The following is a 16,599-nucleotide window of genomic DNA, read 5'->3' on the forward strand; positions in this document are numbered from 1 at the left end:
TAGAGGTCTTTCAACTCCTTGGTTAAATATATTCTTAAGTATATATGTATATATATATGTATATATGTAATATGTATATATATATATATATATATTTGCAGCTATTGTAAAATGGGTTGACTTCTTGATTTGATTCTCTGCTTGGTCACTGTTAGTGCATAGAAGAGCTACTGTTTTGTGTACATTAATCTCGTATCCAGAAATTTTGCTGAATTCTTTTATCAGTTCTAGGAGCTTTCTGGAGGAATTCTTGGGGTTTTCAACGTAAATGATCATACCATCAGCAAACAGTGATAGCTTGACTTCCCCTGTACTGATGCGGATGCCCTTTATTTCTTTCTCTTGTCTGATGGCTCTGGCTGGGATTTCCAGTACTGTGTTGAAGAGGAGTGGTGAGAGTGGGCATCCTTGTCTTGATGCAGTTCCCAGAGGGAATGCTTTCAATTTTTCCCCATTCAGTATTATGTTGGCTGTGGGTTTGTCACAGATGGCTTTTATTACAGTAGGGTATGTCCTTTGTATGCTGATTTTGCTGAGAATTTTGATAGTAAAGCGATGCTGGATTTTGTCAAATGCTTTTTCTACATCTATTGAGATGATCACGTGATTATTGTTGTAAATTCTGTTTATGTGGTGTATCACATTTATTGACTTACATATATTAAACCATCCATCCCTGCATCCGTGGTATGAAACCCACTTGATCATGGTGGATTATCCTTTTGATATTTTGTTGGATTTTGTTACCTAGTATTTTGTTAAGGATTTTAGAATCTATGTTCATGAAAGATATCAGTCTGTAGTTTTCTTTTTTGGTTATGTCCTTTCTTGCTTTGGGTATTAGGGTGAGTCTGAGTTAATGAGTTAGGGAGGGTTCCTTCTTTCTGTATCTTGTGGAGTAGGGTCAAAAGGATTGGTACCAGTTCTTCTTTGAATGTCTGGTAGAATTCTGCTGTGAATCCATCTGGTCCTGGACTTCTTTTGTAGGTAATTTTTAAATTACCATTTCAATCGCGCTGCTTATTATTGGTCTGTTCAGGGTATCAATTCTCCCTGATTTAAGCTAGGAGGGTTGCATTTTTCCAGGATTGTATTCATCTCTTTTAGGTCTTCTAGTTTATGTGCATAAAGGTGTTCATAGTAGCCTTGAGTAATCTTTTGTATTTCAGTGGTGTCAGTTGTAATATCTCCTGTTTCGTTTCTTAGTGAGGTTATTTGGATTTTCTCTCTTCTATTCTTGGGTTAATCTTCCTGATGGTCTATTGTAGCTGGCTGCCACTATTACTACTTGAGACCATCACTACAGCAGTTATTACTGTTACTGCTTGAGACCATCATTACAGCAGTTACTACTGTTACCACTTGAGATCATCGTTACAAGACTGAACGAAGGGAGGAACGTAGAAATGAAAACTTAAAGCAAAAGAAACTGTTCTAAGGAAAGGCAACACGGGGAGAAGAAGAGCACTCCCTGCTTCTAGAGAGCAAAGACAACCCCCCTTGAGCTCCTGCAGCCCTTCTTATTTATTGGGTAACAAGAGCAAGGAGGAGGAGGTAATGATTAGTCAGCTGCTTAATTGATCACAGGTTCATATTATTACTAACTGGCTTCAGATGTACCTAATCACAAAAAACATTTGTGCGGCCTACAACAGTCCATCAATTTTATTCATCTTTTCAAAGAAGCAGCTTTTGGTTTTATTTATCTTTTGTATTGTTTTATTTGTTTCCATTTCATTTAGTTCTGCTCAGATCTTGGTTATTTCCTTTCTTCTGCTGGGTTTGGGTTTGTTTGTTCTTGTTTCTGTAGTTCTTTGAGGTGTGACCTTAGATTGTTTGTGCTCTTTCAGACATTAGAAGGCTATTAAGAACAACTTTAAATTATTTATGGCATTCACTGATTTTTTTAAAATTATAATTTCATAGATTGTAACAATTTATGGGCCAGAATACTTTGTGAGGGTATGTAAATCTAAAGATTCAATTGCTCATTCAGAGACATTTTCTTCAACAACACGTCAACAAATTAGATGGGTCACATGGATTCTCAAGATAATAATTTTTACTGTTAAATGACAAAAAGTATATAGGCCTATGCACAAGGACAAATTATCAGAATTTAGAAAAAATAGTCATTTACCCACACTCTTTTATAAAAAGGAAAGATAAGAAAAGAAATCCTCTGGTCTAGTTTGTCTTAGTGTTGTATTCTGCAACTGGCTTCAGGAACATCTTTTTTTTTTTTTTCCAGTACAAGAACTTAATAATAGCCTTGCCAAAATATGTCACTGCCTTTGCTGACACTCTAAAACATTTAATTTGACATTTAACAATGCATTTCATGAAGAAATAAATATATTAGATATCAACTTTTACACAAAAAATAATATGTTAACATTAACATCACATTACACTTATTTTTAGCAGTTTTACCCCAAAATTGGCATCAAATGCTACTGAAGTTTTCTTGGTCAATGTGGTCTCCTCTATACTTTTTGAAGTGGATGTTTGAAGTTGCTGTTGAGTATATGTTCCAAAACTCTTTAAGATCATAAAAGATTTATATAGAAAAGCCTTGGTTTTGCATTGAAATACTTAAATGTTCTACTTTTATGCAGATAATATAATTAAACCTTTATTTTTCCTTATTAAATTGTGTGAAATATACACAAAGAAAATGTAAAATTCATTTAAAGTAACTGCCAAGTGAACTCTGATATTATCTATCACTCCTATCCAGAAATAGCACATTCCCAACATCCCAGAGGACTCCAGATGCTCTTGCAAATGACAACCTCCTCTCGGCACCTTAAGGCTGTATAAATAGTATTATTTTGTTCTTAATTAAGAATCACGTGGCTGGGTGAGGTGGCTCATGCCTGTAATCCCAGCACTTTGGGAGGTCAAGGCGGGTGGATCACGAGGTCAGGAGATGGAGAACATCCTGGCTAACACAGTGAAACCATGTCTCTACTAAGAATACAAAGAACAAGAAAAATTTAGCCAGGCATGGTGGTGGGCACCTGTAGTCCCAGCTACTCGGGAGGCTGAGGCAGGAGAATGGTGTGAACCTGGGAGGCGGAGCTTGCAGTGAGCCAAGATCACGCCACTGCACTCCAGCCTGGGCGACAGAGTGAGACTGTCTCAAAAAAAAAAAAAATTGAATTAAAAATAAAAATAAAAAGAATCATGTTTCTATTCTATATAATGAAGTTTAATTGTTTGTTTTTGGAACTTTTAAGTGTATAGACATGATATATATGTTGGGAGTATTTTATTTCTTCAATATTAACTTTTTAAGATTTTACACTTTATCATATGTAAGCACAATATATTTTTTTTATTTTGAATAGCACTGAAAACTTTACTTTTACAGAAAAAATGGTAACTTGGTCACCTATGTACCTATTGTGTAAAACATAAACTTTTACATTCAATCAATGCCATGTTAGTTAATTATCTGTTTGGAATCCTATATTACCTACTAACACCTCAAAGCTCAACTGAAACAATGTATATTGAAATTCTATGTGGCATGCTTTGCCTTACTATCTCTAGAGTTTGATATATTATATTATCATCTTATTATCTCAGATATTTACATGCCTGGAATATAACGTGCCAGTTCCCCTTGCATTCCTAAAACGACAATTGGTTATTCTCATAAGCTTATTAAGGGTAATATTTAAAATAATAATAAGAATAATTTTTGCTTCATCCTCATAAAATTATTGTTTTTGAAATTTTCCTGAATACTTGACAAAAAATTCAACGAATCAAAATAAAAATTCTATTGTATTACCTGCACAGAAGTAGAATAAGTATTTCAAAGTTGCATTTTATAGATTCATTCAATTAATCATTCTCAAATAAACATATCTTAATTAATTTATGAATTTGCTTATGTTAAATAAGAATTATTTTTATGCTTTGGCAACCAAGAATACCTAAAATTAGTTTTTTCATTTATTTGCAGTAACAATTAACCTGGGTTGTCTAGTGTTTCCTTTTATTACCTTGTCATTCATTTTTTATCTTTTTTTTTGTTTGAATGTTACCTTGAGGTTTTTTATCTGTGTGTACATATGTATGTAAACTATATGTGTGTTTATATATATGTAACTTATATGTGTGCATATAAAATATAATATATGCACATATAATACTTTTGGGATATGAACATGTAATTTGTGCTTATATCTATTCCCCTTATAATAAGTGCCATCAAATCCTATATTTTGAATTATAGGAAGTATAAGTATAGAAAGCTAGGTGTGTTACTGAATATTTGAGCTTGATGATCTTTTGAATCCTTGTATTATCTGCTTATATGTTTAAAATACATTGCCTATAAAAGGAGCCATAATGGAAATGATAATTATGTCATTTAAAATATCTATACTGACAATGTATACCATAATCTATGTTTTCCCATCTGACTTCACATTTTGGTATAAAAATGGGAGAAAAAAATTTCCATTCGTCAATTATTTTCTCATTAATTTCTAAAGATTATATTTCTATATGCCACATTAATTTTAGACTTTCTGATTTGAACATAACAAAATCCATACAAGATGCTCCACATTATTGGAAACTGTCTCAACTTAGAGGTTATAGGACTCATAAACTTTCGGAATGATATTTTCATTAGTCTTGGCTCACTCTTCCTTATAATGGACTGTTGCACATTGTTTTACACTGTATCATCTCACAGACCTCACAATTTCCTCCTCAATTGGTTTTCAGATTTTCTCCTTCATAACCTCCGACCTCTCTCAGCATTCCTTCCTTGGAAATTTTTATAATAAATTATAATACAATAAGAATTCCCATAATACGTTTCTATTTTAGTTATTTTGCTTTATCTTCTGCTGCTCCTTATTTATTCTCTCAATGTCTCACTACTCTCTGAATGTAATGGTATACTTGGTTCTTTGTTTTTATGCATATATCCTTTCTGTCTCTAGATGAGTTTTCTTTGTGTGATTTTTCTTTTATCAAATTATTATTTATACATTTATAGACACATTTCCTTAGTGAATTATTCTCTGACTCTCCCAAGCTAAATTAGTTGTTTTCTATGCCTTCATCAAATTTAAAAGGGAGACCATACAATTAGGCTCCTTGTATGAAAACCAAGCTCTGCTACTCACTTACTGTGTGACTTTGAGAGAATTCTGTATCTTTGTGTCTTGATATCATAATCCACAATATGAAAATACTAAAGAGTCAAATTTTTTGTTGTCATCATTCCACAGGAAATATTAACACACATCATGGGGTTGTGGAAATCATTTCATTAAAATTTATTCAATGGTTTTAGAAATATGCTTGGCATATATTAAATTATCAATATCAGTTATTTTCACTATTAAAATATTGCCGTCTTTAATCCATTCTATATTTTCTATTTTCTATATTTAGCTTTCTGACTATATTTTAAGCTTTACAGTGGCAGGAGGTGCTATTTAAATTTCTATCCTTATTGTCTCTCATAGTAAAAAAATGTGAGTTAAGCAATATGTTTATTAAATAGGTAGAGCTTACTGCCTCAAAATTACCAAGTAATTATTGTTGAACTTTACAATTCACACTCAATAATCTTTTCTTGTTGTAAAATAGAAAACCCTTGAGTGGAATTATTGATTTCTTTCTAATCCAACCTGTGGTTTTCATGAAGCCTAAGTATAATAAGGAAAGTGCTGGGCCCCATTAGAATATTTCTGGTTAAATGAAGCCTTTTAAATGTATTATAACTGTACTACTGGATTAAAATGTGAAAAAAGAACACTTTTTAATTGATAACATAGACTTTAAAACTATTCTATTTTGTGTCATTCCAAATAATAAAATCTTAAAATTTGTTAATTTAGAATGTGGTTAACTGACAAGTTTTAGTTTTGTAGATACAATATTAATAAATAAGCTATTGTTATTCTTGAAATAATTTATTTAACACTTCCCAAGAAAAAGAGGCAAAAGTACAAATGTAGATATCCAACTTAAGCAGAATAAGTAAAAGCTGTATAAGAATCCCTTCTCTTCATGATCAATTTATTTCCATGGAAGGCTTTATAAAAGAGTCTCAGAAATAATCTATGGATAAACATACTACATTTCTATTTCCTGCAATACAGGGTTAGGAATGTTTGGCTTTCACTGTTAGAAATGAATGAGATTAAAGTTCTTTTATTAATAACCCTACAATGTCCTCTAAAGGTTCAAGTGAAAGGAAGATTCACAGATCTCTCATTTTAAATTAAAAAGCTAAAAATGATTAAGCCTAGTAAGGCACATCCAAAGCTGAGATAAGCCAACAACTAGACCTCTTATACTGTTGCAAGAATCAGGAGACCAGAGAGACCACTGGGTGAGACAGGAGGATTTTATTTAGGTAGCCAAGGGCTCAGCAGATTAACATCCAAAGGCTGAGAAAGGAACAAAGACAAGGCTTGACTTTTATACATGCGTTTGACAGGGGCCAGGTCAGGTTTGTGGAGTGAAACCTGAGGCGGGAAAACACGCTTGCAGAAGAAGAACATGGGTAGTTAATCACACTGTGACAGGTCTTGCAAATCAGGCATGTCTTGTGACCTTTATCATCCTGCACAGATGGGAAAACAGGAACTTACAAAATCCTTGCAAACTTTCAGAAATAGTTACAAACTAGTTATGAGAGCAGAACAAAGAATGATGGCACGGGGAGAGAATTCCAGGGGGAAACTGATAAGAACTTGTTTTTCTTGTCCCTGCACTTGGAGCCCATTTATTCGGGGCCCCTGCTAGGCCTTGCAGATAATGTTACCATAGCTCCAGCTGGACTTTGGAGTGAGTCAGCCTGGTCAGGGAAGGACTTGTTTTCCTTGTAGTTGTTTTTCTTTCTTATATTTCCTGCTTCAGTACCATTGTGAATGCAAAGAAAACAAATGTCTTCAACAAAACCAAAAATGCTACTCAAGTGAACACACAAATGGTTAAGAGAGTGAAATAGCCTTATTGCTGACACAGAGAAGGTTTTTGTGGTCTGGAAAGAATATCAAACCAGCAACAACATTCCTTTAAGAAAAAGCATAACCCACAGCAAAATCCTAACTTACTCTCTTCAATTCTATGAAGGCTGAGAAAGGCAGAAAGTTGCAGAAAAAAATGTGGTTCAGGATGTTTAAGAAGCTGTCTCTGTAACATAAAAGTGCAAGTTGAAGCAACAAGTGCTGATGTAGAAGCTGTAGCAATTTAGAGGATCTAGCTAAGACCATTGACAAATTTGTCAGAGGTGTTTGAACCAGAGCAACTCTATCTTGAATAGGGCCTGGGTAAAATAAGGCTGAGACCTACTGGGCTTTACTCCCAGTCAGTGGGTCTAAGTCACAGGATGAGACAGGAGGTTGGCAAAAGATACAAGTAATAAAAACCTTGCTGATAAAACAGGTTGCAGTAAAGAAGTCAGCTAAAACACACCAAGATTGCTATGAGAGTGACCCTAGTCTTCCTCACTGCTATACTCACACCAGTGCCATGACGGTTTACAAATGCCATGGCAACATCAGGAAGTTTCCCTCTATGGTCTAAAAAGGGGGAGGAATTTTCAGTTCCAGAAATTGCCCACCCCTTTCCTAGAAAGCTCATGAATAACCCACCCCTTGTTTAGCACATAATCAACAAATAAGCATAAAAATGGGCAACCAGCAGCCCTCTGGCTGCACTGCCCATGCAGGAGCCATACTTTTATTCCTTTACTTTCTTAATGAACTTGCTTTCACTTTATTCTATGGACTCGCCCTGAATACTTTCTTGAATGAAATCCAAAAACCCTCTCTTGGGGTCTGGATTGGGACCACTTTCCAGTAACAAAAGTGGCTACATTAAACAATAGATTTTCATTACAGATGAAGTAGCCCTCTATTGGACTTCTCTAAATTCAGATCTACATTAACCCCTAACAAAAAGTCGGCCTGTCCTTTGAAGCTTTGAAGCAAGCAATTGACTTCCCTCCAGCCATAAAATTCCTACATGAACTTTACCCACAGTGGAAAAGAAAGTGGTTTCCTGAGATGAAACCTACTTCTGCTGAAGATGCTGTGAGCATTGTTGAAATGACAACAAAAATTTTAGAATATTACATAAACCTACTTAATAATGCAGTAAAAGAATTTGAGAGAATTGACTTCAATTTTGAAAGAAGTTCTGTGGGTAAAATGCTAAATGTAGATCTGACTTTAAGTTGAAGCTAATGCTCATTTATCACTCTGAAAATCCTAGGGTCCTAAAGAATTACGCTAAAGCTACTCTGCCTGTGTTCTATAAATGGAAAAACAAATCCTGAATGAAAGCATATCTGTTCATCGCATGGTTTCCTGAATAGTTTAAGCCCATTATTGTGACCTACTACTCAGAAAAAGTAAAATATTTCTTTCAAAATATTACTGCACATGAACAATGCACCTAATTAACCAATAACTCTGATAGAGATGTACAAGGAGATTAATTTTGTTTTCATGTCTGCTACCAAAACATCCATTCTTCAGTCCATAAGAAAACAAGTAATTTTGACTTTCAAGTCTTATTATTTAAGAATACACTTTATAAGATTATTGCAGCCATAGATACTGATTCTTCTAATGCATTTGGGCAAAGTCAATTGAAAACCTTCTGGAAAAAAAATCACCATTTTATATTCTATTGAGAACACTCATGATTCATGGGAGAAAGTCAAAATATCAACATTAACAAAGGTTGGGGAGAAGTTGATTCCAACCCTCTTAAATGACTTTAAGGGGCTCAAGACTTTATGGAGAAATTAATTGAGGTTGTGGTGGAAATAGCAAGAAAACTAGAATTAGAAATGCAGCCTGAAAATGTGACTGAATTTGTTGCCATCTCATGATAAAACTTGAATGGATAAGGACTTACTTCTTACAGATAAGTAAATAAAGTGGTATCTTGAGATGAAATCTACTTCTGTTGAAGAGGCTGCAAGCATTGTTGAAATAACAACAAAAAAAAATTAGAATATTACATAAACTTAGTTGATAATGCAGTAACAGAATTTGAGAGGATTGACTCCAAATTTTAAGGAAGTTCTGTGAGTAAAATGCTCTCAGCACCCCACGTTACAGAAAAATATTTTGTAAAAAGGAGAGTCAATTAATGAGGCAAACTTTCTTGCCTGTTTCTTATTGTAAAAAATTGCCATAGCCACCCAAACGTTCAGCAACCACCAGTCTGATTAGTCCATAACCATTAATATAGAGGCAGGACCATTCACCAGCCAAAGGATTATGATTCCCTGAAGGCTCAGATGATCATTAGCATCTCTTAGCAATATAGTATTTTTAAGGAAGGCATGTATATTGTTTCGTAAGCAATATTGTATACACTTGATAGACTGCAATATAGTGTTAACATAACTTTATATGCCCTGGGAAACCAAAAAAAAAAAAAAATGCGTGACTCGCTTTATTGCAATATTCATTTTATTGACATGTCTGGAACCAAACTTGCAAGATCTCCAAGATATGAATGTATCGAAGTCAGGGAGAAGGGTTATTGGTGGAGCAATAACAGAGAGGACAGAAGACAAGAGGAAGGAGCAAGTCTCCTTTCACTCTTCCAGCCTTCCAACCTCACTCCCTGCACTCTACTTACAGATCTTAAAAGGTAGCCAGCTGACAAAGAAGAAATGACATTTGCAGACTCCAATGCTGGAATGATAATGTAAAATATACAAAGATGTATTTGGACTGGGAACCCAGATCTTAATAATTCACATAAAATTGTAATTACACAGTTATGCCTGGAGTGCTCAACTGATGTGAGCCTGATGGTAACTGAGGTTGATAAAGGCAGTAATGACATGGAGAAATAAATTTAGACTATAAAAATAGGAGTACATAATGATAGAGGATAAATTTTAAGTCACCCAGGAATAATGTAATATATCAACTTCCAATCTTATACAGTCTTTTAATTTTTTTAATGCACTAATTCCAATGAAGATTTAATCTCAGATTTTAATTATACTTGTGAATTACAAAACTGTATCTTACTAGTGGAGACTAATGCTTACACAAATGAAAAAGTGACTGTGTAATTTATGTCCATAAATTTATAAAAATAACTCACTGCATCTTCAGACGCATACCATGCATGTGAGTGTTTGAGGTCACGGTATTAGTCTGTCCTCACACTGCTAATAAAGACATACCTGACACTGGGTAATTTATAAGGAAAAAGAGGTTTAATAGACTCACAGTTCCACGTGGCTGGGGAGGACTCACAATAATAGTGGAAGTCAAAGGAGGAGCAAAGTTACATCTTAAATGACTGCAGGTGAGAGACAGAGCATGTGCATGGGAACTCCCCTTTATGAAACCATCATATCTCGTGAGACTTATTCATTATCACAAGAACAGCATGGCAAAGATCCGCCCTCATGATTCAATTACTTCTCACTGGGTACTTCCTACTACACATGGTTATTATGGGAGCTACAGTTTGAGATTCGCGTGGGGACACGGCCAAACTGTATCAGTCATGTAAAAAAATGAAATAATTTCACCTTTCATATGTAGCTGGAGTCCCAGAAATAATTTTTTTCTCCAAAAAATGCTTCTAGATATTCCTTTGTTTTGGGGACAAGCTTCCTGTACATTTTTCTTTTATAGTTTTGTGAAAAAAAAAACTCTTCAATATTGCAAATTTAAACCTATTAGATGTCACAAAATGTTTATCTGAGAAAAAGTAGTAACAAAATGTCTTGTGAAGTTATCAACTACAATATGCATGCTGTTCACTGAGGTTAGCAAATTCTTGTAAAAACCAGGGTGCTGTCTCAGGAATTACGATGATCTCTTCTTTTTGGAGTAACACTATTGCTGCAAATTCTGATAAATTGAGATGGTCTCAAATGGTGAGTATCAGCAAAAACGTGAAAAAGAAAAAAAAACCTTCAAACAAGGCATATCAAAAAAGACAATCATCTCTACTGATTTTAAACATCATTCCAAGGCTCAGAGATTTACAGAAAGGAATGAGTTTCAGCCAGCATATGGTTGCAGTAGTAATATTGTCATTAAATTTGGGTTTGGGAATACATGCTAAGCATAAACAAACAAGAGCTAACAAGACCTGTGGCCTAAGCAAGGATGAGGAGGAGCAAGAGCAGTGGGCAAGTCTGAGATTTTGAGTGACCAGCTTCCAACAGCAATACGTAACAGCAAAATGAAAAGGAAACCACTTGAAATCAGGATCAAATATACACATAAAACTACTCTCTCCACTGAGAAATTACAAATATAATTAGCACTTATGGTGTATTAGTCCGGTCTCACGCCGCTAATAAAGACATGCCCAAGACTGGGTAATTTATGAAGACAAGACACTTAGTTGGCTTACAGTTCAGAGTGTCTGGGGAGACCTCAGAAAACCATCAGATCTTGTAAGAACTCACTATCACAAAAAAAGCATGGGGTACCCACCTTCATGATTTAATTACCTTCAACCGGGTCCCTCCCACCACACACGGGGATTATGTGAACTATAATTCAAGATGAGATTTGGGTGTGGACAAAGCCAAACCATATCATTCCACCTTTGGCCCCTCCCAGATCTCATGTCCTCAAAATTCAAAACACAATCATTCATTTCCAATAGTCCCCCAAAATCTTAGCCCTTTCCAGCACTAACCCAAAAGTCCAAGTTCAAAGTTTCGTCTGTGACAAGGCAAATCCCTTTCACCTATGAGTCTGTAAAATTGAAAGGAAGTTAGTTACTTCCTAGATACAATTGGGGATACAGGCATTGGGTAAATACACCCATTCCAAATGGGAAATTGGCCAAAACAAAGGGCCTACAGGCCCCATGCAAGTCTGAAATCCAGTAGGGCAGTCATTAAGCCTTGAAGTTCCAAAATAATTATCTTTGACTTCATGTCTCACATGCAGGGCATGCTGATGCAAAGGGTGGGCTCACACAGCCTTGGGAAGCTCTGTCCCTGTGGCTTTGCAGGGTGCAGCACTCCTCCTAGCTGCTTTCATGGGCTGATAGTGAGTGCCTGTGGCTTTTCCAGGTGCACAGTGCAAGCTGTCAGCAGATGTATCATTCTGGGGTCTAGAAGATCGTGCCCTTCTTCTCAAAGCTCCACAAGGCAGTGCCCCAGTGGGAACTCTGTGTGGGGGGCTCTGGCCTCACATTTCCCTTCCACACTGCCCTAGGAGAGGTTCTCCATGTTGGCTGTCTCCCTGAAGCAAATTTCTGCGTGTACATCAAGACATTTCCATACATCCTATACAATTTAGGTGAGGTTTCCAAATCTCAATTCTTGACTTCTCTGCACCCACAGGCTTAACACAACATGGAAGCTGCCAAGGCTTGGGGCTTGCACCATCTTAAGTAATGGCCCAAGCTGTACCTTGGCCCCTTGTAGCCACAGCTGGAGTTGAAGCAGCTGGGACACAGGGCACCATGTCCCGAGATTGCACAGATCAGGTGGGCCCTGGGCCCAGCCCAGGAAGTCATTTTTTTCCTCTTAAGCCTCTAGGCCTGTGATGGGAGGGGCTGCTGCGAAGGTCCCTGAGATACCCTGGAGACATTTTTCCCATTTTCTTGGTGATTAACCTTCAGCTCCTCATTACTTATGCAAATTTCTGCAGTGGGCTTGAATTTTCCCCTCAGAAAATGGGTTTTTCTTTTCTATCCAATTTTCCGAAATTTTATGCTCTGTTTCCTCTTGAATGCTTTGCCACTTAGAAATTTATTCCACCAGATACCCTAAATCATCTCTCTCAAGTTCAAAGTTCTACAGATCTCTAGGGCAGGGGCAAAATGCCACCCAGTCTCTTTTGCAAGGCATAACAAGAGGCACCTTTACTCCAGTTTCCAGCAAGTTCCTCATCTCCATCTGAGACCACTTCATTGTGCATCTCACTATCAGCATTTTAGTCCAAACCATTCAAGAAGTCTCTAGAAAGTTTCAAACTTTCCCACATCTTCCTGTCTTCTGAGCCCCCCAAGTCTCTAGGAAGTTCCAAACTTTCCCACATTTTCCTGTCTTTTTTTTGAGCCTTCCAAACTGTTGCAACCTCTGCCTGTTACCCAGTTCCAAAGTTATTTCCACATTTTTGGGTATCCTTATAGTAGCATCCCACTCTCTGAGGTACCAATTTACTGTATTAGTCCTTTCTCAGGCTGCTACTAAAGACATACCCAAGACTAGGTAGTGTATAAAGGAAATTTTTTTTTTTTTTTTTTAAGTGACTTATAGTTCAGCATGGCTGGGGAGGCCTCAGGAAACTTACAGTCATGGCTGAAAGGGAAGCAGACACATCCTTCTTCACATGGTAGCAGGAGAGAAAAGTGCCAAGCACAGGAGGGAAATCACCTTATAAATCCATTGGATTTTATGAGAACTCATTCACATTCTTGAGAACATCATGGGAGTAACTGCTTCCATGATTCAATTACCTCCAATCAGATCCCTCCAAACAGATGTTGAGATTATGGGAACTACAATTCAAGGTGAGATTTGTGTGGGGACACAGCTAAACCGTATCATATGGTCAAAGTAAGCTCTAGTATTTGGGAACAATTTTTGATCTTGAGGACTGCTAATAAAATTATATGGGAAGGGCTAAATGGATAATTGGAAGCATAAAAGTGATACAATTATATTTCTATTTCAATCTCATAAAGTATGTGATAGCAGTTAATATATTATATCCCTCATGGCAGTTTCGGGATTAGAAATTTTAGTGGCAGTAGTGAATAAATAAAGACTGAATAAATCAAGATTCTTTATTTTCCAAGTTTGTAAGTAGATACACAGAGGTTATAAACCTGGCCAAGACTCAAATACATCATCAGAGGCAGAGATAGACTAATAAAAAAAGAAAAATAGTTGACCTCACCTACAATCTATTCCAAAATAGCTACCAAGAACACGATATGTTCAACAGAACCACAAATCTTAAAACTGCCATCCTGAGCCATTACTCTTTGACATCAAAAGGAAGAGGGATAAAGTAATACCAACTTAATCTTTTATGTGCATTAAGGTTACAGCATGTGTCTTACACATCTTCTGATGTTATATTAAATATTTATTATGTAGAAAGCCATCAATGAATATTTGGAGAAAAAAAGAACGAAAGAGAGAAGAAAAAAAGGACAAATTGGAAGTTCAGCACTGTCAATTCAGGATCAATTGACAAAGCAAAATAAGTTAATAATTGAGAATTGCACCCTGAGTTTACATGTAGGTAGAAGCTCTAAGTTCTGATGTTTAATACTCATATACATCCAGTTTCACTTGCAAACTACCTGTATTACCTTTATTTAACATTGAATGTCTGAAGAAATGATACCAAAGGCATATATCAGAAAAGAGCTAGTGGATATATACAAATTCAAATTTTCTGTACAAAAAATTTAAATACCAATAAATAAAAATAAATATAAAAGTTACAAATTGATCAAAAATATTTGCAAGAGACATAACAGATAACATGATAAAAACCTTTATATAGAACTTTTGCAATGCAATTAGAGATAAAGGAAACAAAAAAGGAAAGAGTATAGATTGTAACTAATCTTTAGAATTTCTAAAGCTGTCTATGATATGATATTAAGCACAACAAAAGGATATTATTAAGCAATATAAAAGAATATTAAGCAATATGCACAGCAACAAATACATATACCTCCTTGCAATAATCTTTGGAAAGATTGTAATAACTAGGTAAATAAACATAAGCCTGCTTTATGGCATTATTATTATCAATTTCTCTTCTTACCTCTGTCTCTAAGCAAGTAGCTCTTTATGAAGAAAAATAAATAAATAAAACTTTAGGGAAGAAAAATAGATAATAAAGTAGTTCTAGAATGTGGCCACTTATTGGTATTGAATCAATACTTATAACTCAACTAGACAAAATAGGCAAAGAATGAGAGCTATATTTAGAGAGGTGTTGAGCTGTAATTGGAAAAAACAATAGCTATGGTGTCAATTAATGCTGAATTCACAATGTATTTTCTCTCTGGCTAATTGTATGGATACTGGAACATCATCTGCAGTCCCTGTTTAATAAGTTTCATCTAGTCTCTAAGTTTCAGCATTATGTCTTATGTCAGTGTGGGTGTAGGCAGGGATGGCCATGTATATTCAATAATTTTTTCTTCTTGTTCTTATTCTTTGCACTATTGTGTTTTCTTAAAGTTCTCTCTGTGTGTATGTATGTGTGTGTGTGAGTCTATATTTACACTGCGATAAAGAACTGCCTTAGACTGGGTAATTTATAAAATAAAGAAGTTTAATTAACTCACAGTTCAGCATAGCTGGGGAGGCTTCGGGAAACTTACAATCATAGCAGTAGGGGAAGCAATTATGTCTTTGTTTATATGGTGACATGAAGGAGAAGTGCCGAGAGATGCAGGAAGAGCCTCTTATAAAATTATTAGATCTCCTGATAGCTCACTCACCATCACAAGAACAGCATAGGGAAAACTGCCCTTATGATTCAATTACCTCCACCTGGCCTCTCCTTTGACACGTGGGAATTATGGGGATTACCATTCAAAATGAGATTTGGGTGGGGACACAAAGCCTAACCGTATGTGTGTGTGTGTGTGTGTGTGTGTGTGTGTGTGTGTTTGTATATGTGTTTAAACTATGATTCTTTTGGTCATTGTAGTCTATAAGATTTTCCTTTTCTGGCAGCAAATGCTATGTATATTTTCCCTAATAATTGAATCAATCTTAATTTTTTCTTTTAGTGTTATTATTATTGCTATTGTTTTAAAAGTCCTTTCAGGATGAAAGGTAGAAAAATAGTTGCAAAGCATTGCCTGTTTTTTTTTTTTCTTTACATTTTTCTCTGTTACAAATAAAATTTATTTTCATCCATGGTGTTTTTCTCTAACATAAAATTATTTCCCAGCAGTAACATTTAAATAATCTTAATGATATCAAATGTCACCTAAAAAAGGAAAAATAATGCATATCTTTTTTAGTGTTATAAATTTAGATGAGATAATGTATGTAGTGTACAAATCCAAGTCCTAGCGTATAATACAGCTCAGATAATTGCACTTGAATATGAGTAGATTTGATAATTTTACAATAATTAATTCATTGTCTTTAATAATTGAGAAAATGTGCTACATTTGATATGTATGTTTTTGGGGGAACAAGGAAAACTTATTCTTTACTTAAATTCTTTAAAGATAACTAGGCATCAGTTGTCTTTTACTAAAAGAACTTTAAGGTCCCCTTGAGCTTCAGAAGCTACAATTTTATTATGGGAACTACTAAGATTTTGACATATTATGAGATGCATTAGTGAGCTCATAAGAGTCAAAATATGCTATCATTACTTTGCCAGTCGATGTGACTAATGATAAGCATTTATAAGTGGCCAGGATAATACCAGAGGCACATGAATGCACTCTCTAATAAACACCCATGAGATAACTCTTTCCAGTGATATTTTTGTTCACATTAAATAAAAGAAGCAAAATCTTAACAAATGGGTTTAAAGTTTCTGGACAAAAAAAAATATACAGTATGATAATTACTTTTAACTATACTTTATTACACACATT

At 35.2% G+C, this 16,599-nt stretch overlaps 1 long non-coding RNA gene across 5 annotated transcripts in view, besides 1 other annotated feature; it reads right to left on the bottom strand.

Moving 5' to 3' along the window:
• The window catches only part of LOC105377177 (uncharacterized), a 250,124-nt gene that overhangs the window by 206,928 nt on the left and 26,597 nt on the right, over positions 1-16,599 (bottom strand). The gene's annotated exons all lie outside the window — the stretch shown is intronic.
• Positions 6,356-6,600: a silencer, noted in NCBI's record as "fragment chr3:80782659-80782903 (GRCh37/hg19 assembly coordinates)". NCBI's record gives its function as "represses an EF-1alpha promoter that drives an FKBP-Casp9 reporter gene in an ReSE screen in phorbol 12-myristate 13-acetate-treated (for megakaryocytic differentiation) K562 erythroleukemia cells {active_cell/tissue: K562(+PMA)}" and the evidence as "EXISTENCE:reporter gene assay evidence [ECO:0000049][PMID:32094911]".

The sequence above is a fragment of the Homo sapiens genome, chromosome 3 (assembly GCF_000001405.40).
Source record: "Homo sapiens chromosome 3, GRCh38.p14 Primary Assembly".
Classification (NCBI taxonomy): domain Eukaryota; kingdom Metazoa; phylum Chordata; class Mammalia; order Primates; family Hominidae; genus Homo; species Homo sapiens.